General features: G+C 43.5%; 1 protein-coding gene across 5 annotated transcripts in view, besides 4 other annotated features; it reads left to right on the top strand.

Annotated features, from left to right (window-relative positions):
- Window positions 1-23,937, top strand: part of SV2C (synaptic vesicle glycoprotein 2C) — a 506,476-nt gene that overhangs the window by 464,805 nt on the left and 17,734 nt on the right. For 4 of the 5 annotated variants that reach the window (XM_011543282.4, NM_014979.4, XM_011543281.4 and 1 more), the window contains one exon: window positions 13,096-21,688. The exons of the other annotated variant lie outside the window; for it this stretch is intronic. In XM_011543282.4, the coding sequence (XP_011541584.2) occupies window positions 13,096-13,279 (184 nt within the window). In that variant the 3' untranslated portion in view covers window positions 13,280-21,688. Of the gene's footprint in view, window positions 1-13,095; window positions 21,689-23,937 lie in introns of those variants that run through there. 5 annotated transcript variants of the gene reach the window in all.
- Window positions 7,571-7,715: an enhancer, noted in NCBI's record as "145 bp enhancer 83 fragment used in the MPRA reporter construct; PK_construct_4497". NCBI's record gives its function as "activates an SV40 promoter by MPRA in K562 cells {active_cell/tissue: K562}" and the evidence as "EXISTENCE:reporter gene assay evidence [ECO:0000049][PMID:23512712]".
- Window positions 7,634-7,651: a transcriptional cis regulatory region, noted in NCBI's record as "GATA motif; enhancer activity is reduced when this motif is scrambled". NCBI's record gives its function as "necessary for full MPRA enhancer 83 activity {active_cell/tissue: K562}" and the evidence as "EXISTENCE:site-directed mutagenesis evidence [ECO:0005528][PMID:23512712]".
- Window positions 13,164-13,663: an enhancer, noted in NCBI's record as "H3K4me1 hESC enhancer chr5:75621257-75621756 (GRCh37/hg19 assembly coordinates)". NCBI's record gives its function as "activates a minimal SCP1, AML or CMV promoter by ChIP-STARR-seq in naive H9 embryonic stem cells {active_cell/tissue: H9 hESC(naive)}" and the evidence as "EXISTENCE:reporter gene assay evidence [ECO:0000049][PMID:30033119]".
- Window positions 22,915-23,545: an enhancer, noted in NCBI's record as "NANOG-H3K27ac hESC enhancer chr5:75631008-75631638 (GRCh37/hg19 assembly coordinates)". NCBI's record gives its function as "activates a minimal SCP1, AML or CMV promoter by ChIP-STARR-seq in naive H9 embryonic stem cells {active_cell/tissue: H9 hESC(naive)}" and the evidence as "EXISTENCE:reporter gene assay evidence [ECO:0000049][PMID:30033119]".

Below are 23,937 nucleotides of genomic sequence, written 5' to 3' on the forward strand. Positions count from 1 at the left end.
GGGGGACAGGGTCTCACTCTGTCACCCAGGCTGGAGTGCAGTGACGCAATCTCCACTCACTGCAATCTCTGCTTCCCAGATTCAAGCAATTCTCCTGCCTCGGCCTCCTGAGTAACTGGGATTATAGGTGCCTTCCACCACTCCCAGCTAATTTTTGTATTTTTAATAGAGACGGGGTTTCACCGTGTTGGCCAGGCTGGTCTCGAACTCCTGACCTCAAGTGATCTGCCTGCCTCGGCCTCCCAACGTGCTGGGATTACAGACATGAGCCAGCGTGCCCAGCCATTAGGGGCCATCTTTACCCCTCCTCCGTGGCGCTCGGGGCCAGGAGCGCACACCTTGTGAGATGCAGCCCACGCTCTCAGGGCCGTCCTGCAACTCTGCACAGACTCCCAGGGCCAGGCAAGCCTGTCTCATGGTGTCGTTTGGCCGCATGTTCCTGCCTTTCTCTGCCTACCTTCTTCCCTTTTCTTTCCCCCTTATGCCCCCTTATGCATGCACAGTTTCAGACATGAGGTCAGAAAGGATTTGAGGATCTGATTGTTCACACCTGCCGATCCCTGAGAGTCCTGGGCAGCTGCTGCCATCACCCAGTGCAGTGGGATTGGTCTCTTCCTTGATGAGCTAAAATCAAAACATTTTCCCAGAATTAAGCAACCCAAGCCCTTCCCTTAGGACTGTCCTTGTTTTGACAGAGTTCTCTTGTTTCCTCCCCATTCTTCAGTTCCGAAGGTCTGTCATCTTGGATCTCTTACTGACCAGCTGTGCGACCTCAGGGACACCACTCAGCCTAGCTGGGCCTGGATTGTTTGAGATTTAAATGAGGAGTATGAAATAAATAGCATCTCAGGGCCTTTCTAGCTCTAGAATTCTCTTCACTGTCGTCATCTGGTATTCTGTAATGGCAATTTCATTCATTCTTTCTTGAATACATTCTACGTCTAATATAAAGATAAATATCTCACTTATTTGTGAAGATTTTGGTACAGAGGAATCTTTCAGCTATCGCGACTAACCAACCTATGTAATCCACTCCATCCCTGGCCCTCTGCTCTGCTTGATTTTTCCTTATACGCCTTATCATTATATTATATATGTTTATGCTTTGGCTATCCAGCAAAAGTCAGATTCATTTTGTCTCTGGTAGTTAGAAGTAGAGGGTGAAGGGGGTGGGGAATATATGCTTCCTGCTCCCACAACCTTGCCATCAGGCAATATATTACAATGGAAGCAAATCCTGCCAAGTGTACTAGCACAAAAACAGTCACAAAGTTTGTTTTTGAGCTCCAAGGAAGTCCATCTCGCTGTCCTTGGGTACTGAGCAAGCCCTTGCATGAAAGGGCCATGTGCTTGATATGCTGACAGCAGGGCCACCAGACTTGTGGGCCAGCTAAACAAGGGAATGCCCCTTTAATTGTGGGGTGCAGGATAAGGGGGCTCTAGAATCTGGAGTCTAGACCAGGAGTACCATTTCACCAACTTGAGGCTGCAGGGCTTGGAGGACGCTTGTATGTTCATTAGGCTAAGGGCAGAACATTCTTTCCAATCATTGCTTATACAGAACAGCACTCACATCATCAGTGAAAAAATCATCTCCGTGGTCATTAACAAACCTTCTCATGCAGATTTCTAAAATGATCTTTAAAGCACTAAGTAACCATCTCTGGCCTGTTGATTCTTGATTAATGTGCTTTAAATTATATGGGTATGCATTAGAGACAATTTATCTATCAATCATATTGTTTATACTGAAGTACTTAAAGGAAATTATCACCCAGACCTTATGATGAGAGGATGTTAGGTTGCATGTGTACTTGTTTAACTCACTAGAATGTTAGCTCCTTGAGGGCAAGACATTGTCTTCCTTATTTACTGCCATAACTCTAGGTGAATGAATGAATGAATGAATGAAATATGCATTTGAGAATTAATTTGGCTATGGATGATAGTTTTCCTCCCCGTATGGGGTCCAGCCTCCCAGCTTTCCAGAGTGAGCATTTGGGCCAGTGTAAGGGAGGGAGCACTGGTCTTCAGTCCTCTCTGCTGTCCTTTGGGTCCCTTTCCACTTCTTCCATCACAGCCTGAGACCTCCTGATCCTTCAGCTGTCAGCTCCCCGTTCCTCATAAAGCATTGCCTATTAGAGATCCACCTCCCCCTCTCCCTCTACTTCATCAACAAAGTGGAGGAAAGCACTGATCTAGGGGTCACTGAATTCAGGTGCAGTCACTGCCAGAAAAATAGCTGGATAATTTGGAAAAGGCCTTTCACCCTTCTGAGCCTTGGTTTCCTCATCTGTGTGGTGGAGGGTGGGTCGGGCATGATGCTGGAAATTTTAAATGATCTCAACTTATTTAATTCTCATCCCAATCCTGTAAGAGTAGGTATTCTTACCCCATGTTCAGGTGAGGAAAATGCGGCACAGAGAGGGGAAGTAACTTGTCCTGGATCACTTAGCCTTAAACCCAGATGTCTGACTCAGTGGTGCTGCTCCCAGCACAGACATATCTACCTCCCCTCCCAGTAGGTGTGGGAATCTATTTTTAAACAGCTCACTTGGCTGTTGGGATGCACAGCCATGTTCATGACCTTGGCCACAGATGAACTCCAAGGGGTGCTCAGTCATTCCATCATTATTTACCCTGGCCCAGGCCCTCACTCCCTAGCTAGGTTAATCAGATAAACAAGACATAAAGGCTCCCGTTATTACCTTCCCAGAATATTTGATTTCAACAGGAATAAGCAGTCAAAAGCCCCTTATGGTGGTGGAGATGGGAGGGAGATAAAGGGCTACTTGGGATCCAGGGATTCCTGTCAGCTCACAACTTGTAGGTGAGTCCTTCTCCACTTGAGTGTAAGGAAGGCCCTGCTCGAAGGGGTGCAGGGTGCCATCTTGCCCTCATTAAGGAACATGGCCAGGCGCACACACACACACACACACACACACACACACATAATAGATACTAGGGTAAGACAGATTTTTATCTTTCTTTGAAGATTAGAAAACAATTGCATTCAGTCTTTTCTGACTTAATATGAAATTCATTTTTTCTCTCTGAAAAAAAAAATATGATAGTCTGGTATCAAAAAAACAAATATGACCCAACTAATTTCCATTAAAATGTCTATTACAAAAATCGACTTCCAACATATTTGGAAGATCTCAGGAAATCTGTTAGCTCAGTCTTTCATTTAATAAGTAACATAGGTATCTGTACCGGTCCTGAGAAGAGGTGGTGCTGAGTGACTACAAAGGCTACCCAGCTCCACTCCCCCAGAGGTGACCTGGACCTAAACAAGGCTAATTCTGGACAAGGAGATGTGCAAGATTGGTATAAACCAGCCCTTGGAGGGGAGTGGGAAGGGTAGCGTGGAGGGAATCAAGTTGAGGCAACTGAGTAACAGTTGGAAGAGAAGGAAACAATTCAGGTTAGGTGAGAAGCTGCCTCTGGTGAAATGAATTAAGCTCTGTGCTGTGAGAAGCAGAATAAACAAGGGAGTTTAACAAGAGCCTAAGCAGGAAGGGAGAAGAAAAAAGGGATGGGAAGCCTTTGGGTTGGATCCCTCTCTCTCTCCTCTCCAGTGTGCAAAGCATACTTTGCTGGCCTCAGTATCCCCTGCATCACATCATAAACACTTTCCCTTGGATGTTTTATGCTGCTTGATATTCCCTAATGAACACACACAAACGAAGCAGGTCATATATGTGAAGGTGTTAATTGCAGAATCACTTGTTACCCCAAATTTGGAAAGCTCCCATTAGCCAATGGCATGGTTACAAGAATAATGGTTCCATGCTAAATAAATCATTTCATTTTAAACAAAACATCAACATGAGAAAACAGTAATATGAATGAAAAAAAAGCAGAAAGCAAAATTGTCTAAATCCTCTGATTTCCTGTGATTTATATGACTGGAAGTACACTAAAGGGAATTCAGAAATGAAAACCATTTGTCAGAAAGGTGGAGTGGATGTTTTGCTTTTATAATTTCCTTTGTATATGAAACCCACATCAATTCAAAGAATGCAGACATCCCTGGGAAGACAGCAGGATTCTCAACCCTGGATACACCTTCATGTCACGTGGAGCTTCTAAAAAATACTAATGCTTGGGCCCCAATAAAGCAATAAATTCAGAATCTCTGTGCATGTGGCCCTAGGCATCAGTATTGAACACATCACTAAGGTTTGAAAGCTCCTCCAGGTGATTCTGATGCACCCAAGCTTAAGCATCATTAGTTCAGGGCATGGTTATACGTGCACTTTGGTTCAATCAGATTGCTATCCTAATCCTAGGTTGAAAACACCTGCTTGGGAGTAGGAAATTTATTTAGGGGCTGGAGGGAGGTAAGCCGTTTAGCCCTCAAGAAGCCTTTAGGGGTGTGTCTAAGGCAAACCTGAGTGGGTACCATGAGGGAAGTTAGGGAGATGTGAGAGTACGGGGAGAGGCAGAGAACACCCCTATCCACATGCCATCCTTCTCCTGGCAAGCTCCTACTATTCCTTTCAGCACACTCCTAGTCTTGTCCAGCCCCCCTGAGAAGCTTTCCTTCAACTGCCACTACCCTCAGCTCGATATCACTTTCTATGCTCCTGGCTGCATAATACTTTGTGGGTATCTTCAACATTGCACTCAGCATGTATGTTACCATGATCTCGTCTCACCCATCTTAGTGCAAATGGAGGTTTCATCTTATTAATTTTGGGGTCTCTGGAGCTTAGTGCAGTGTTTGACACTTAGCAGATATTTAATGAATGATTATATGAATATGAAAAAAACGCATAGAATATGTAAATTAGGAGTGTATTAAGGACAAATCTGCGTATTAGACAAATATTTAAGGGTTTCTTGTACTTTTAGCATTGTAATGTGATAGCTTAGATGGATTCAGTGTTACAAAAGTTCTTTTAGGCTAACCTGATGACCTAGCCATCATTTTTAATATTTTTTCTCTAAGATAAATGAAATTCATTGTGTATTTCAAATAACCAACTTCCAGATGAATCTTTAGATCACAATGTCCTCCTGATTTAAGGACTGCCTATACTTTTCAAAATGCCCCATGCTGAGTCTTGAGTATCCCTCTTGTAACTTCTACCAATTATTTAACTGAGTTGTCCAGAAAAAGCTTATTTCCAAAAATTTATTCTAGACAAAAAGAACCACCCCCCCCAACACACACACACATACACACACACACTTTTACCCTTTAACAGGTAAATTCTATGAGCTAAGTCTGGATCTACACCATTTCAGGCCTTTTTAAAATGTGGCACTTAGGCCAGGTGCTGTGGCTCATGCCTGTAACCCCAACACTTTGGGAGGCCGAGGTGGGAGAATCACTTGAGCCCAGGGGTTCAAAACCAGCCTGGGAAACATAGTGGGTACCCCATCTCTACAAAATTTAAAAAATTAGCTGAGCTTGCTGGCACACATTTGTGGTCCTAGCTACTCGAGAGGCTGAGGAGGAGGATCACTTGGGCCTGGAAGGTCGAGGCTGCAGTGAGCTATGATTACACCACTGCACTCCAGCCTGGGCAACAGAGCAAGGCCCTGCCTCAAAAATGTAGCACTTAATTGTTCTTTTCTAATAATCTTATCAGTTGGTGGGGTAGATATTCAGCCAGTGTTTAAACAATGGCTAATAGTCACATGGTGCCTACCACATGCCAGGCACTGCCCTAAGTGCCACCATTTTTCAGTGTCCTTTTCTTCTTCCTAGGAGCCTCAAAAAAAACCCATATCTGGCCCTGCACTAAAGACAGAAAAATCCACAAAGAGGCTGGATGTGAGGACAAAATTATCCTCATTTTATCCAGAATGGAGCCAGTAGTTTTCTTTTCCCCACCACCAACTAAAACATAAAATGGGTCAGATGCAGTGGCTCATGCCGGTAATCCCAGCACTTTGGGAGGCCGAGGCGGGCAGATCATGAGGTCAGGAGTTCGAGACCAACCTGGCCAACATGGTGAAACCCCGTCTCTACTAAAAACACAAAAATTAGCTGGGCATGATGGTGCGCACCTGTAATCCCAGCTACTTGGGAGGCTGAGGCAAGAGAATCATTTGAACCTGGGAGGCGGAGGTTGCAGTGAGCCGAGATCGTGCCACTGCACTCCAGCCTGGGCAATAGAGTGAGACTCCATCTCAAAAAGAAAGAAAGAAAAAAAAAACAGCATGAAACAATATAAATAAACTAGAACCCAATAAATCGTGAAGGCCCCAGAGAGGGAGCCACCATCCAGCTGCAGAGGTGGCCACATCCCCACCAGGTGAGTCTAAGTGCTGCTGCAAACCAGCTCCATATACCAGCACATGTGTCTCAGACCAAGGAAGTTTATGATGCAGGGAGGAGAGCCACCTTAATGGAATGAGCAACAAGGCAGCTGCAGTCACAGGGTACTTTTGGGGGAAATAATTTACATTTAAAAATTTTAAATAAGTAGATTGAGTACAAATTGAGAGCAAAGGCTTCTGGCTGAAGAGATGAGAAGCAAAGCATGGAGCAATAGAATGACACTAGATCATTTCATTCTTTCCCTTCAGTGCTTGTTGTTTAAGAGAAGGCATGAAAACATATTTGATCTGAAAAATAATGCATTAACTCATTCTACAGCTGAGAAGTCGGCAAGTCAGGGTTCTGCAAGCTCTGAGCTCCCCACCCTCAAAGGACTTTATGAGCAAAGGTGACTCGTACTTTGGGTGTCTGCAGAAGCAATACAGTTTCCTTTAAGTAAGAACAGAGAGTAAATGAACTAAAAGCCTATTTATTTTATAAACAGATAACCCCAAGGGAGAATCACTTTGTGAATGGTTTTTCTAATACAGCTGTGTCTCTGATGCATTGAAAAATCATGCCCAGCTGGGCGTGGTGGCTCACGCCTGTAATCCCAGCCCTTTGGGAGGCCGAAGCAGGCAGATTAATTGGGCCCAGCAGTTCAAGAACACCCTGGGCAACATGGTGAAACCTGCATCTCTACAAAAAAAAAAAACACAAAAAATTGCCCGTGTGCGGCAGTGCAAGCTTTTAGTCCCAGCTACCAAAAGGCTGAGGTGGGAAAATCATCTGAGCCCAGGAAGTCGAGGCTGCAGTGAGCCATGATCGCGCCACTGCACTCCAGCCTGGGCCACAGAGCGAGACTCCATCTCAAAAAAAAAGAAAAAAAGAAAAGAAAAATTACACGCTTCAGCTGCAAATATTTGAAAGAAGAATTTACTTTTCCAAGGAAAGGGTAGTCACGTTTTCTTGAATGCCGACACTAATTTACGGAGGCTGTGTGCTTTGCATCCACACCAGATTTTCATCTAAAGAACTGCCTTTGCTTGGTAAATGAAAATGGAGATTCTTAAGAAGGATTTGATCGTCTTTTTCAAAACCCTCAGATACCAGATGCTCCTAACGCATCTGCCTTTAGTCTGCCCAGGAATCTCAGGAAGTCATCCATTCCTCGAGTACAGTTTCAGTGATACAAGGAGATAGCAGCCCACATTTTATACGCTATTCTGAGTTATACCAGAGGTTCGTCGTTTGGGAAAATACGGTTATTTTAACCTAGATGCAAATCCTATCTGGGTTACTCTGCAGTTTCAGCATTGAGAGACTTCTTCATGACAGAAAAGTGGTTTCCTTTTTCTTATCAGCAACATACACTCAGGCCATTTTCCCCGGAAGAATCCAGCTTATCTTACTACTACAACATATATCTGGTCATTTATGACACTAGAATCTAGAAACTAAAATGTTAGTTTAACAAAGTGAAAAGCCAGGCACGGTGGCTCATACCTGTAATCCCAGCACTTTGGGAGGCTGAGGTGGGAGGATTGCTTGAGCCCAGGAGTTCAACACTAGCCTGGGCAACATAGCAATAGCCTCGTCTCGTCTTCCTTTTTTTTTTTTTTTTTTAAGTGAAAGAAGTCAGTCTTTAAAAAGCTACATACTGTGAGGTTTCAACTCTGTGACATCCTGGAAAAGGCAGAACTATGGAAACAGTAAAAAGATTGGTGATTGTTCAGGGTTGTGGGGAGAGAGGAATGAATAGATGGAGCATGGGACTTTTAGGGCAGTAAAGCTATTCTACATGATACTGTAATGATGGATACATGTCATTATACATGTGTCAAAACCCACAGAATGTACAACACCAATGTAATGTAATTGAACTTTGGCTAATAACAACGTGTCAATATTGGCTCATCAGTTGTAACAAATGTACCATACCAAAGCAAGAAGTTACTAGTGGAAACTGAGGGTATAAGAGAACTCTACTTTTTGTTCACTTTTTTTGTTGTAAACCTAAAGCTGCTCAAAAACATCTATTCATATTTCTAAAAAACAGCAAAAAGACAGTTTAGCCTCATGGCATATCCATGGAGGTGGGGGAGGTGGGGACGGGGTCATTCTAGTATAATTAAGTCTTCTTTGGTACACAACATATAGGCTCAAGCAATTTCATTTGAAAGTAGTTATCAGTATATTAAATCTCCTTATGTTTTTAGTGGTTGCTGCCATTACTAGTCTCTTGCTTTAAAAAAAGAAGAGGAAGAATATGAAATTAGCTTACCCTCTTCTCAAGAAGTTTCTTTCAGTCAGAGATTCTGTCATACTCTTCCCACATTCCAAACAGTTGGCAACTTTGCCTCACTTCAGGAGCCTGCATACTCTACTTTCTAGGTGTCTTAGCCAAAAAGAAAATCCGTGCTTACTGCCCTTTATTAGGTGTGATGTAACCCACAAAATCACTGGCTGTGCACTAACTCACAGACTGGATTTGTGCAGCTCAGGGAGGAGTGTTTATTCCTTTCCCATGGTGCAGAAAGGAGGATGGTTGGATAATAACCACAATAAATATCTCGGTTATGAAGAGTCCACACGTTATGGAAACAACTATCATTAGGTACAGTACAAGTAGCGATGAGTAGTTATGACTTGTCAAAGAAAAACCCACACTTACAAATTTACAAATCAAACAAAGAAAGATGTGTGCTAAATGCTGCATTTTGCCCCTTATAAGATGCATTTCCCTCTTAGGGGGAAAAAAAAAACAAGGTATCCAAAAATTGCCCTGTATTCGATGTGCCTTTAACTCAGTGACAGCCAAAAAAGAGTAAACTGGCATAAAGTCAGAAGGAAATTCATACTCTCTCATGGTGTCAGTGGTGTATGCAGGCTCATGAACAAAATTAAGTTTCAGCTGGGAATGGTGGCTCACACCTGTAATCCCAGCACTTTGGGAGGCCAAGGCAGGAGGATCACTTGAGTCCAGGAGTTTGAGACCATCCTGGGCAATATGATGAAACCCCATCTCTACAAAAAAATACAATAATTAGCTGGGCATGGTGGTGCACGCCTGTAGTCCCAACTGTTCAGGAGGCTGAGGTGGGAGGATCACTTGAGCCCAGTAGATCGAGGCTGCAGTGAGCCAAGATTCCACCACTGCACTCCAGCCTGGGTGACATGAGCGAGACCCTATCATCTCTGAAAAAAAAAAAAAAAAATTAAGTTTTCTGCCTAGAAGATCACTTGTTCATGTGTACTAAAGATAATAATTTTTTTCTTTTTTAAAAAATGTCTTAAGAAGTGGGATGTGTCTTACTTATATACCTGCGTATCTTAAAGAGAGGGAACAAGATCTTCCTAGGCCCACAATTGATTCTCTTCTGTCATATTTTCTTGGACTTGATTTCCCAAATGTTACATTGGCTCACTGGTGTGCTCCCCAGCTCAGTATTCGGTTTCTGCCTGCTACCAAAAATAATTGGCAAGATAGCAGAGTATTTCACCTCCATAGTATCTGAAAGATGAGGGATATAACCTCACCCTCCCTAATTTTCTGAGAAAATTCCGTGGGCTCTTCTTATTTAAGACCTAGCATGTTAATTAATAAAAGAAAATAGAAAGCTGATAAGCAACTTCAGCAAAGTCTCAGGATACAAAATCAACGTGCAAAAATCACAAGCATTCCTTTACATCAACAATAGACAAGTGAGAGCCAACTCATGAGTGAACTCCCATTCACAATTGCTACAAAGACAGTAAAATACCTGGAAATACAATTTACAAGGGCTGTGAAGGAACTCTTCAAGGAGAACTACAAACCACTGCCCAAGGAAATAAGAGAGGATGTAAACAAATGGAAAAACATTCCATATTCATGGATAGGAAGAATCAATATAGTGAAAGTGGCCATACTGCCCAAAGTAATTTATAGATTCAATGCTATTCCCATCCAACTACCATTGACATTCTTCACAGAATTAGAAAAAGCTACTTTAAATTTCATATGGAACCAAGGAAGACCCCATATAGCCAAGACAATCCTAAGCAAAAAGAACAAAGCTAGAGGCATCATGTTACCTGACTTCAAACTATACTACAAGGCTACAGTAACCAAAACAGCATGGTACTGGTACCAAAACAGACATATAGACCAATGGCACAGAACAGAGACCTCCGAAATAACACTACACATCTACAACCATCTGATCTTCAACAAACCTCACAGAAACAAGAGATGGGGAAAAGATCTCCTATTCAAAAAAAGGTGCTGTGAAAACTGGCTAGCCATATTCAGAAAACTGAAACTGGACCCCTTCCTTACACTTTATGCAAAATTAACTCAAGATGGATTAAAGACTTAAATGTAAAGCCCAAAACCATAAAAACCCTAGAAGAAAACCTAGGCAATACCACTCAGGACATAGGCATGGGCAAATACTTCATGATGAAAACACCAAAAGCAATTTCAACAAAAGCCAAAATTCACAAATGGGATGTAATTAAACTAAAGATCTTCAGCACAGCAAAAGAAACTGTCATCAGAGTAAACAGGCAAACTACAGAATGGGAGAACATTTTTGCAATCTACCCATCTGACAAAGGTCTAATATCTAGAATTTACAAGGAATGTAAACAAATTTACCAGAAAAAAATAAACAACTTCATCAACAAGGGGGCAAAGGATATGAACAGATACTTCTCAAAAGAAGACATTTACATGGCCAACAAACATATGAAGAAAAGCTCAACATCACTGATCATAGAGAAATGAAAATCAAAACTGCAATGAGATACTATCTCATGCCAGTCAGAATGGCTATTATTAAAAAGTCAAGAAACAATAGATGCTAGCGAGGCTGTGGAGAAATAGGAACACTTTTACACTGTTGGTGTGAATGTAAATTAGTTCAACCACTGTGGAAGACAGTACAGCGATTCCTCAAGGATCTAGAACCAGAAATACCATTTGACCCAGCAATCCCATTACTGGGTATGTACCCAAAGGAATATAAATCATTCTACTATAAAGACACATACACATGAATGTTTATTGCTGCACTATTTACAATAGCAAAGACTTGGAACCAACCCAAATGCCTATCAATGATAGACTGGATAAAGCAAATGTGGTACATGTACACCATGGAATACTATGCAGCCATAAAAAAGGAATGAGATAATGTCCTTTGCAGGGACATGGATGAAGCTAGAAGCCATTATCCTCAGCAAACTAACACAGGAACAGAAAACCAAACACCGATTGTTCTCACTCATAAATGAGAGTTGAACAATGACAACACATGGACATAGGGAGGGGAACAACACACACCAGGGCCTGTTTAGGGGATGGGGAGTGAGGGGAGGGAACTTAGAGGATGGGTCAATAGGTGCAGCAAACCACCATGGCACATGTATACCTATGTAACAAACCTGCACGTTCTGCACATGTATCTCGGAACTGAAAGTAAAATACAAAATAAATAAAAAATAAAACACTTAGCATGAACATAATTAATTAAAGAAAATAGGGAGTAACAAATCTAAGTAAATATATTGTTGCACTTAACAACAGTTTTTTTTCTCTTTACTTATCTGATAGAGACAGGGTCTTGCTATGTTGCCCAGGCTGGTCTCAAACTCCTAGGTTCAAGAAATCCTCCAACCTCAGCCTCCCAAAGTGCTGGGATTACAGGTGTAAGACACCCTGCTCAGCCTGCCATACATTTTAACTTTGGAATGAAATTTAAATTTCCATTTAAACATAGATGTTTCTGAAATTATGGGAATTTACAAAACAAAATAACAAGTCACTCTTGTAAAGAGATGAGAAACTGCTCAATTTTTCTATATCACCCTCTCCACCCTTTGCCTGGGATAAGAGGAGGTAACCCAGCTTTTCCCACACTGAGCAGAGGTGACCTGCCTCTCTCTAATGAACTGCGCTTTATGCCTGTTTTGTTCCTGAGAGAAGAGTTTGGATAGAGGAGGATTAAAGTTTGTTTTAAGAGACCCTTCCTGCAGGGTATAGTGGCTCATGCCTGTAATCCCAGCACTTTGGGAGGCCAAGACAAGAGGATTGCTTAAGCCCAGGAGTTTGAGACCAGCCAGGGCAACGCAGGAGGACACCCCCATCTCTACAAATATTTAAAAAAAAAAAATAGCTGAGCATGGCAGTACACACTTGTAGTCCCAAGTAGCAACTCAGGAGGCTGAGGTAGGAGGATCACTTGAACCTGCGAAGTGGAGGCTGCAGTGAGTTATCATTGTACCAGTGTACTCACCTGGGCAACATAGCAAGACCCTATCTCTACAAAAATAAAAATAAAAATTAGCTGTGTATGGTGGTGTGCACCTGTAGTCCTAGCTACTCAGGAGGCTGAGGTGGGAAGATTGCTTGAGCCCAGGAGTTTGAGGCTGCAGTGAACTATTACTATGCCACTGCACTCCAGCCTGGGCAACCGAGCAAGACCTAATCTCTATAAAAATGAAAAAGACCCTTCCTTCCAACAACGTTAAACCACTAGAGATGTTTCGTACTCCCTACAATTTTTTCTCTCTTTCTGTTCACAATACATTGGGACTTACAGGCAGAGTAAGAGTCAATGGAAGCTATGGTAAGAAAGTCAACAGAGGGCTGGAGGAACAATACCAACAGCTAGGATTCTCTACTCCCAGATTTGCTAACAAGCATTGATTTGCTCCACTGATATACAACACAATCTGAGGGAAGATCATTGAAAATCTAGGATCTTTTGGTCTAAAGTTGGAATCATGGGGAGGCATTTTCTCAACCTTGTTCATGTCTCTTTCCTTTGCAGGGCAACAGGCTTTGGCTTCTTAAATGCGCTATGCAAGGCAGCAGCCGTCCTGGGAAACTTAATATTTGGCTCTCTGGTCAGCATCACCAAATCAATCCCCATCCTGCTGGCTTCTACTGTGCTCGTGTGTGGAGGACTCGTTGGGCTGTGCCTGCCTGACACACGAACCCAGGTTCTGATGTAATGGGAAAAAAAGCCATCCTTCCTGCGTTTCTTCCTCCTGCCCTGGGTCAATTCTCCTTCCTGACTCAAGGCTTCAGAGTTTTCCTATATAGAAAGGTGATCAAGTATCAGAACATAAACACGTGCTGTGACTTAAAATTTAGAAGCATATCATCTTGCCCCTTTGTGATTTTGCACAGGTTGTTTGTTTGTTTTGTTTTGTTTGAATGCATTGTTATCTTTCCAAACTGTGATGCTACTGCCTCCCGCAAATCAGTGGAAGCATTTCTAAAATGCCCTAGGCAGCCAGGCTTCCCTGGGGTTCTGCTCATTGAAAGTTTAGAAGCTAAGAAGACTGGGCTGGTGTAAGAAATAGATCCTGCTCCTAATTTAACATTAACAGGAAATATAAGTCGGCACATTATTGCATTTGTGCTGAGAAGAGGGATTCTTTTTTTTTTTTTTTCTAACAGAGTGATATTTCCTGTTTACTTAGAAAAGGACACCCAGTAATTCTCACTGTTATAGCAGAGCCTTTCAAAGAAAACCATGTGGCACCAAACAGGGCTGGGTGGGGCTCTTTGGGGCAAGACAATTAAGGTGACCGCTGACAAGAAAAATAAAAGCTCTGCAATTAGCAGCAAAAATCTGAGTGTGCTGCATAAGCAAGATTTCTGTCAGAAAGCCCAATTAAACCTCTGAAAAGTGTGAGGAAAAAGAACTGTAACAGTATCTGTGACTGTGGCATGTGGTTCAGAATGTTTGAAAATCAGAGATCCGAGAGAGAGCTTCTGCCTCCATTTACCACTCCCACTCCTTCAGCTGCCCTTGGTCTTGCCAGACAGCAGATTCAGGGAAAGAAAGCTGCTTCTTAAAAACTGTCTGCCTACCTGATTCTGCCACTTACCCACACTGTCTCTAGTCTAGAGATTGCCAGTGGATAGCTAAATTGTAAATTGCAAATTAGGAAGAAATTCACACCCAGAGCCATTTGGAAATACAAAATGGTACCTCTTTCCAGTACCTCTTTGCTGTGGGACTGGCCCGCCAGGACCCCCACCCCACCTGGCCCGCAGTTGACATTCAGCTTCCCAGCTGGCATCAGCAAAGAGGGTTTGTCCCTCTAGCTTCCCCAGGGCTGGCCCACTGCTCAATGCGCTCCTGGCTCCCTGTAAAATCACAGCCCGCCTGCACTCCTGAGGGCCCCTCTCACAGACAGACCATCTCCCTGTGGTTGTTTGACTGCTCATTTTACCTCTGGAATCTGCCTGGGCTTGGAAGAAAGAGGTCAGCCAGGACATTCCCACGGGCCCGCTGTCAGCTACATGACCTTCTCGCCTCTCAGGCTCCCCTTCCCCCAGGCTCGTCCTTTTTACACCTCTTCTTTGAAATCTGAACCTTCCTTGTAGACTTGCAGCCAATGACCAGAAGCCAGGAATAAATCCCATATTTAAACAATATTCCTTTTTTAACTGCCTCGATAGAGGTTTATTCTTGTTACTTATTATAGGCATTTTCAGGCAAGCCATAGCTTGGGGCCTCCAGGAAGGGAAAGCTTTTGTTTCCACTGATCATTATTTTCAGAGATGTCCTAACTCCCCTGAGGCCCCCCTGCCTCCCCCTCCCCTTCCTAATGATCCCTCGCAGAGCTCAGACTAAGTGAAAAGCTTCTTTCATTAACATAAGCCATTAATCGACTTCCCCTTGAAGTAATTCAGGTCTGCAGAGGGGGGAAGACTGGTGTTGGGGGCAGTGGGAAGAGGGTGGTTCCCTGGGGGTCTGTGATCAGGGCTAGAACATCAGGAAAACCCGAACCAAAAACTGCAAAGGTGGCAGGAAGAAGAAAAATCACTGAAGGCTAGACAAGATGCATTTGAAAGATACCAACCGCACAGGGAAAGAAACAACTTTCTCTCACTTCTGCCTCCTATCATTTTATTGGAGAACAAAGACAGCAGTCAAACAACCCAAGAAAGTACCCTGTATGTTTTTCTTCTTCCACATGTACCCATTTTCCCACCTATCTCTCCCTGATTTGTCTTCTTTAAAAAGACATTTGGGGACCTGAGCAGGTCTTTTAGTTGAATGCAGCATGTGCAGAAATAACTGCAAAAGCCAGGAGTGCATCTCCATCAACCCATCAAAAGAAAAATAGAAATGTACATGGGCATCGCTGTCTCTAGTCCTCTGTGATAGTTCACTTTGCTAACTAGACTACCTTTACTTTTCAAAATATCTCTAATGTCTGCTCTGGGGTCTAAATGCATAAAACATCTCCCAAGCTGCAGAGCACAGTTATTCAGAATTTTATTTGAACACTGGGTTGGGTCAGCATAGGATAAACCAGCAAAACCTTACTTCATGAGACCTGCCATCCGTGTCCCCTGCAGAAGGACCGTTCTTGGCCTACTTGTTACCTAATCCAAGCATCCTTGGTGGCCTAAGAGGGATCTTTTCTCATCTCCTGGACAGTCTGTGGTCACAAACCTTCTTGGTCACCACCTCTCCCACCTTTTGTGCACTCTTCCCTGCCTCCTTGAGACTGTTCATCACCTTGATTTTCTAAGAGAGCTCAAATCATTTCCAAAGCATGTGGTGTGGCCTGTATAGCTTGCTCCAGATTTAGCTGGAGATTAAGAAACAGCCAGGATATTAAACAGAAACTCTCAGTTGTATCAGTGTAGCAGGCCACTGGCACCTAAACACGCAACTGGCATCTCATTTCGCCTACAGTAGAAGGAAAATGAAAATTTGTACAAAAATGAAAACCTAGGAAATAGTCCACTTGCTCCTATATTTTTACCACCTTTTCTAACTAAAATTTCCCTGTTGCTCTTTGGAATCAATCCAGAATGCTCCCAAGTCCCATTATTATCACAGAATCTTCTCAGTAGGGAAAAACAAACAACTGCTTCAAACTGTGAATTCTGTATGTACCACATTCTATCCCAGGTATTGGGTTTTAAGGCACCCAACTCACATTCAGTCCTGCTGCCTGAATCATCTCACACCAGAGTACAGACCTTGGAGACGCGATAGATGGGTCCTAGCCTGACCTTCACCACTAAGCGGTACAGGGACCCAGATCTTGCTGTGGAGACTGTAAGTCGTTGAACATCTCTAGTTCTCACTTTCCCCGTGCACAAAATAAAGGATTGGGACTAGTCTGCTCTCCACTCTCCAGCATTGTAGAAGACAGTAATGAAAATAGCTTCATCTTATCTGCCTTCTTATGCTAAACTCATTTTTTTTTTTTTTAGGTGGAGTTTCACTCTGTTGCCCAGGCTGGAGTGCAGTGGTGGGAACTCTGCTCACTGCAACCTCCGCCTCCCAGGTTCAAGTGATTCTCCCACCTCAGCCTCCCAAGTAGCTGGGACCACACGCATGCGCCACCACGCCCAGCTAATTTTTGTATCTTTTAGTAGAGGTGGGGTTTCACCGTGTTGGTCAGGCTGGTCTCGAACTCCTGACCTCAAGTGATCGGCCCACCTCAGCCTCCCAAAATGCTGGGATTACAGGCGTGAGCCACTGGCGGCCTCAACTCATTTTTACAAGCACTAAATAGGTTTAGTTTATAAACTGAAAAATTAGGAAATAGGCACGCATAAAAAGAGTGTAGGAAGTTGTTTGGGAAGCCCGCATGGAATAGGCCAGAAAGCACAGTCCCCATGCTGTCTGCCCTGCCAGCATCTCAGCATCCTGACTAGTATCTCTGTTCACTGCAGGTTTGACAGTTACCATCACCCAGCCAGAAAAGGGCCCCGCCTTGCCAGATAAACGCGCTTAGGTTAGAAGACTATAATTGCAATATTACCCTACAGCTCTCCTGACTGTTTATTCCATTATTTTCTTGAAACATGGCCTTAAGTATTATACATAGGCTTCAGAAACAGTTTTTCAGTGATTTTACCTATATTGGCAAATAGACAAATCTCACCAAATCAGAGTTCAGGTTTTCACCAAAAACTGCTTAGTTGTCTTTCAAGATACCTTAAGAGATCAAAGGGGAGGTGGGAAAAGAAATGTAGTGACAGAAGGGAGAGTCCAAGATACCACTGATAAGGTTCCAGCAAAGAGATTAGGACACAGCAGAGACTTTCTAAATGCTGGGGTCATTTCCAAAGCAGTCCAGGGGAATACTTTCTGATTCCCTCTGCCAATCAAAATAGATAGAATATGATATTCTCCAATTTTTTTTCTGTTTGATGTCAAAATGGCCTTTACCTATTTCTTCAGTAATATACCTGATCTGTTCATGCACTAAAGGCTCTGGAGCCAGGAATGTCTGAATTTGGCCTTCACCTGGTATCACAGAAAGACAACTGGGATATTGGTGTTAAGGGGCATATCGGCTGTATGTTAGGTTTTCTTTAATCCTCACATCGTGCCAAACTTAGTCTGGTTACTAAGCCTAAAAACACCAGTATTGCAACAACTTCTGAAACTCTGAAGTGGACTATATGTTTCTCACAGTTTTTGTTTATGCTCAGCAAAGTATGTATTTTAAGTAAAGCTTCTCTTGTTATCTGTAATGTAGACAAAAAAAAAAAAAAACCTGTTAGTATATTCTGGATGTATTGTGTGTCCCTTCATTGTTTCAGGTATGGCGTAACAGTTCTCCGTGTGATGTTCTTTTGCTCTAAATGTTGACCATTCCTCTTGTCGCCCGTCTCTCACCAACCAGTCACAGAGCCATTGCCAGGGCTCCCTTCAGTCTTTCTTAAACAATATCTAAATGCAGTTTAGTAATCCCAGGATTTTGAGTTACAAGAATACAGTTTATGGGTCTGTTTCAGCTCTTACTTAAGGCTAGCATGGTTGGGCAGGGGAAGAGCTGAGCCGAGCCTTCACTGATCTCTTGTCATTTCATATGATTATCCAGTAAATACTTATTGAGCACCTCCCATGTGATACGTATTGAGACACTGCTGTGTGCAATAATTAAGCCTATGGAGGACTTAAATGAGGGCAAGGAAAACAGAATGAGAGAAGACACTCTCACACTGACCCCCATTACATGTGAACCCTCCGCGCCCCCCCCCATAAATACAAAGTGTTATTTTTCCACATTTAAAACAAATAATAGCCTTCAGCAGGCAGTGCAGGAACTATTCAGTCATTGAGATAACCTTTGATGAGAGGAGAAAGCTCCTTGATTACCTGGTTTTTGTTGGAGAGACTATTAACTAGTACTTGGAAAATGAGAAAAATGAAACCACACATAAGTTGTTCCCTTAAATAATCTCAGCAGGATATTGCACTAAGATATTATTCAAGGAAAAGAATCAGGAGCAGAGATAGCCCCATCTCTCTAGAGCATTTTTTTTTTTTTTTTGGGCGGGGGGGCGGGGGACGGAGTCTCGCTCTATTACTTAGGCCGGAGTGCAGTGGTGCAATCTCGGCTCAATGCAACTTCCGCCTCCCAGGTTCAAGCAATTCTCCTGCCTCAGCCTCCCAGGTAGCTGGGATTACAGGTGCATGCCACTATGTCCGGCTAATTTTTTGTATTTTTAGTAGAGACGAGGTTTCACCATTTTGGCCAGGCTGGTCTCCAACTCCTAACTTCAAGTGATCTACCCACCTTGGCCTCCCAAAGTGCTGGGATTACAGGCATGAGCCACTACACCTGGCCTAAAGTCCCGCTTTCTTCTGAGGTGTTCTTTTCATGGTGTGAAACCAGAGACAGGAGCTAGGGGGTCTGTTCCCCAGCGAATAGTGTTGGGGTTTTCTCTTCAGAGCTAAGTCAGCAAAGCCTGCAGCTGCTGCCACTCCCCTGGTCTGTGCCTCCCAGGGTGTTTCCTTTCTGATTTTGAAGATTTGTGGGTGAGTCAATTATCTTTGCAGACATCCTAAAGCAGCTTCCCTCCTCGCTACCCTCAGCAGATAAGCCATCCAGAAAACAGGTTCTGACAGCCAGTAGCAGGGGTATTTTGGGTTTCAGTTTAAAACTGGTGCGTGTTGTTGCAAGTGTCTTGAAGTTGCAAAGGATGTTTGGGGTTCTAGGGCCTGCAGGGGGGCAGAGCAGAAAGAGGGTAGTTGTCAGTGACCCTCTACCCTCCTCTGAGAGCCCCATTGCCATTTTTGCCCACCAGTTCTCTTCTTACCTCCTCAGGGCAGTGCCCACTCATTTCCTTTATTTCCCTTTTGTTTTTTTTCTTTTCCTCCTCTGGTCGACAACCTCTTAATTCTAGCAGTGTACAAAAGCAAGGCCAAGCTTTCCTGGGGCACTTGGGATGAAAGGCCCATCCATGCCTGTTGTGGAGGCACAGAGGAGGAGAAGGTGAAGAACAGGAATGGGTGCAGGGGGAGTGTGAACGCAAGGCTGCTGGCTTTGGCACAGCTCCCTGTGCAGGGCTGGATTTCCAATTGCTTTTCAGTGCCTGTGCCCTGATAGGATGGGCACAGCTGGTATGGAATCAGAGCAGCCCATCTCCAGAGCAGAAGTCTGAGAGCTCAGCGTTTGACTCCTGAAAGACCAGGATGTTCCTACCTGGGTTCTTGAGATTCATTGGCTAGTGGAGGTAGATGGTACTCTCCATGTCTGCAGAAGATTCCCCACTTGGTGCTGAAGGCTAGGTGCCTTCCAGTCAGGTCTGAATGCTGAAATTGCTGAGATTGTCCACTCTCTGCCTACTTTATTGCATTCATGCTCCCCTTAGATCCAAGAGTGCCCAGGACTAGGAGCAGAAAGCAGTTTTCAACCCTTTGTTCAGACTCAGACGGGTTTCAACTCAAGCGGGTAATCTACCCCAGCAGCAGGGGTGCAAAGTCCAAAACAGCTTTGTGGTGCCTGGGGAGTGACTAGGCAGCCTGCTCACAGGGGCTGGAGTCATCTAAAGCTAGTGATGAGCTGGAATAGCTTTGAACCGGTTCATCCGAACTGATTGTTAAACTTTCAGAACTTTTGAGAGTCAGTTGAGAAACATAGCTATTACTAAAAAATTAAATAAGATTAGATAAATTATAGCTAAAAGCAAAGGCAACATATAGTCAAAGCTCATCACTTTCTACTTATTTTACTACATTTTACCATTATCTGTGCCCATGAGGTAATGTATGCCTATTATGTCTGTATGGTAGAAATACTGTATACAGGTATACTACTACACACACCTTCCCAAGTGACAGTATTTTTGTAGTTTGAGATCAGCTATAGTGGTGGTATTTATACCATGGAAAGCAACAAAGCCATGGAAAGCAACAAAGCCATGCAAATCAGACTCCTCCTAACCCCTAAGACAGTTGTTAAACATTTGCCAGCATACCACCATCTAAAGCCCTAAAGAATGCTTGGCCTCCCACTGCATAGACACAGGCCACATCACATTGAGTATCATGGATTTATGGGTCAGCATTGCCCCTAAGTCCAAGGAAGGGGAAAGACTTAGCAAGCTCAACCTCATGTGATTCACAAAGGGTTTCTTTCTGCATTTGTATTGACTCAGAATAGGACCCAGTACAGAGAATCCACTGTTATCTATGGGTGTCATTCCTTCAGAAAGAATGTACAGTAAAATTGGCTATTTCATGCTATGCAAACAAAATGAAACTAGTTTGAAGTTGCAAAGTGTCTCCCCTCTTGCGCCCACGTAGTCATCCAAGAAGGAAACTCCTTTCTTGCCTTGATATTCACCAGGCCTACCTAGATAGAACTTGACAAATTGGCCTAACTTCATCTCCGCTGCTATTGTTATATATTTGCTTTACTGAATCTATGTCCTATGTCAGTCAGAAGAAAAAAGAAATGTCTTTTTTAATATACACTTTCTTAGCATCCATGCAGTTATGTATCCTCATCCTGATCCAGGAACATATTGAACAGATCATATGTCTTTTGTTACTATCTAGATACACTAAATAACATGATAGAAGAGTTTTCTCTTTCAGGTGAACTTCCATTTTGAACATATGCTAAACGTACTATCCACTGTCTATTTTAATGAGATCTTGGCAATGGTCCTGTCGGTTTTGGTGTTTGGATTGTTTGGCTTTGTTTTCCTTTTTTATTCTTCCTGTTTTTAATGCTGTGTAAGATCTCCTGCTATGAATGTTCCAGTTACCCCTATTGTACTGTATATACGTGTGCTGCATGTGTAAATTCTGTTTCAGGTTTTGGAGTTTTCATCTTAAGTACAGCTGGTCCTGTTGTGAACTCATCTTTCCTGTATGCTCCTCTGTGTCTGATTTCCAATTGCCAAAATGTTTGACCAAATGTGTTTTGACAAATATCCCGAGACAGCCATGCGTATCCTTGTGAAAGGGCATGCTCCATGTGGGATGGCTCGTGTACAGCATAAATCTATCAAACTTGGAATTGTGTATACATTTATATGCCAGATAACTAACATTCATGTAACAGCTGCAAAGATATTTAGTGTATATCAGATTAATAAAAGAGCATTTTTTTTTTGCTCCATTATATTCAAATACAGATTGCTGTGTGACTGGCTTCCCTTCTAAGCATGAATTGACCCTTCAAAAAATGAGCACTTTTTTAATGTCCTTAGGTATAGAGAAAACCTGTTTCTCCAATTCAGGTTTATTTGAATTGTTTCTGTGGGCTGGTGTCATGGGTATTGATGTGTTGTTGATCTTACGTGAGTATTTTCCAACTGTTAGCCAGGACCAGTGGGAAGAATATGTTCGTGGGGGAGTTTGTGGCAAAGCAGATGCTTGTGTTCTTTTGCCCTAGAGTAGGAATAGCAAACAGATTTTTATTTAGCATATTAAATCCACTTGATTGGTAGTAGCTGCTTGGAACAGTGGTTTAAGAACAATGAGAAAAAGTGCTATACTTTAGGGAATTCACATTGGAGGCAGAAACAGACTTAAATGCCACATATTTGCTATCCCCAAAAGAGTTCCCGTGACTGCATTTAACAGAAGACACAAGTCTTCTTTTATTCTTTTATTCCTTTAATTTCCTAATAAACTGTCTTTACTAACAAAGAGGATGGGGCCATCCCAAGGTTGGTTCTGATGTGGCTTGATAACATCATTGGAGACCCAGATTCTTTTTCCATCTTTTAGATCAGCCATCCTCATCATACTGGCTTTTGTCCCCCTATGGGCATGAGATGGTGGCTGCAACTCTAAGCATCACATCTTCACACATCTAAGCGCCAGAAGGAGAACTAGTCCCTCTTTTTGACCCCTTTTTAAGATCAAGGAGAACATTCTCGGAATCCTCCAGCAGACTCCCCATTATGTCTCATTGGCTGGATTTGCATCATCTGCCAACTCCTAAACCAATCACGAGCAAGAGGAACATAATTACCATAACTGGCTTAGACTAATCAAGAGTCACCTCTCCCCCTATAGCTGTAAGGGGCCCAGTCTCTCCTGAAGCACATGGCTCCTGACTGCCTGAACAAAATGGGGGGTTTGTAAGCAAGGAAAAAGGCAGGTAACTGCTGGGTAAGCAAGCAACAGTGGGCTGTGTCTGAGCTCTAGAACCATGCTGTCTAATATGATAGCCACATGTAGCTATTTATATTTAAACTTAACTAAAACCAAGAATTCAGTTCCTTAGTTACACTTAGCCACATTTCAGATGCTTGATTGCCACATGTGACCAGAGGCTACCATATTGAACACTGAAAACATAGAATATCCCATCATCACCAAAAGTGCTACTGGCTAGTGCTATCCTACTAGTTGTGCATTCACACCCCTCTGCAGGCTGTTCCTTCTCTTGGAACCAGCTCTCACTTCTTCCAGGTTCTCTCCCCCAGCTAGATCCTCCTTCTTTGCTGTAGCAATTTCTTTCCCCCTTTTCTGATACCCAGCCCATCGCTCTATATAGATCTTAACCCTTTGTCCAGCTTTCCACTCCTCCAGATGTAGGCCCTATTCCTTATTTAAGAAAAGCTACAGTCACACATTTTCCTTTTTTTTTTTTTTTTTTTTTTTTTTATTGATCATTCTTGGGTGTTTCTCACAGAGGGGGATTTGGCAGGGTCATAGGACAATAGTGGAGGGAAGGTCAGCAGATAAACAAGTGAACAAAGGTCTCTGGTTTTCCTAGGCAGAGGACCCTGCGGCCCTCCGCAGTGTTTGTGTCCCTGGGTGCTTGAGATTAGGGAGTGGTGATGACTCTTAACGAGCATGCTGCCTTCAAGCATCTGTTTAACAAAGCACATCTTGCACCACCCTTAATCCATTTAACCCTGAGTGGACACAGCACATGTTTCAGAGAGCACAGGGTTGGGGGTAGGGTCACAGATCAACAGGATCACAAGGCAGAAGAATTTTTCTTAGTACAGAACAAAATGAAAAGTCTCCCGTGTCTACCTCTTTCTACACAGACATGGCAACCATCCGATTTCTCAATCCTTTCTCGGCCTTTCCCCCCTTTCTATTCCACAAAACTGCCATTGTCATCATGGCCCGTTCTCAATGAGCTGTTGGGTACACCTCCCAGACAGGGTGGTGGCTGGGCAGAGGGGCTCCTCACTTCCCAGTAGGGGCGGCCGGGCAGAGGCGCCCCTCACCTCCCGGAGGGGGCGGCTAGCCGGGCGGGGGGCTGACCCCCCCACCTCCCTCCCGGACGGGGCGGCTGGCCGGGCGGGGGTCTGACCCCCCCCACCTCCCTCCCGGACGGGGCGGCTGGCCTGGCGGGGGCTGACCCCCACCTCCCTCCCGGATGGGGTGGCTGCCGGGCAGAGACGCTCCTCACTT

This window comes from Homo sapiens, chromosome 5, assembly GCF_000001405.40.
Source record: "Homo sapiens chromosome 5, GRCh38.p14 Primary Assembly".
NCBI lineage: Eukaryota > Metazoa > Chordata > Mammalia > Primates > Hominidae > Homo > Homo sapiens.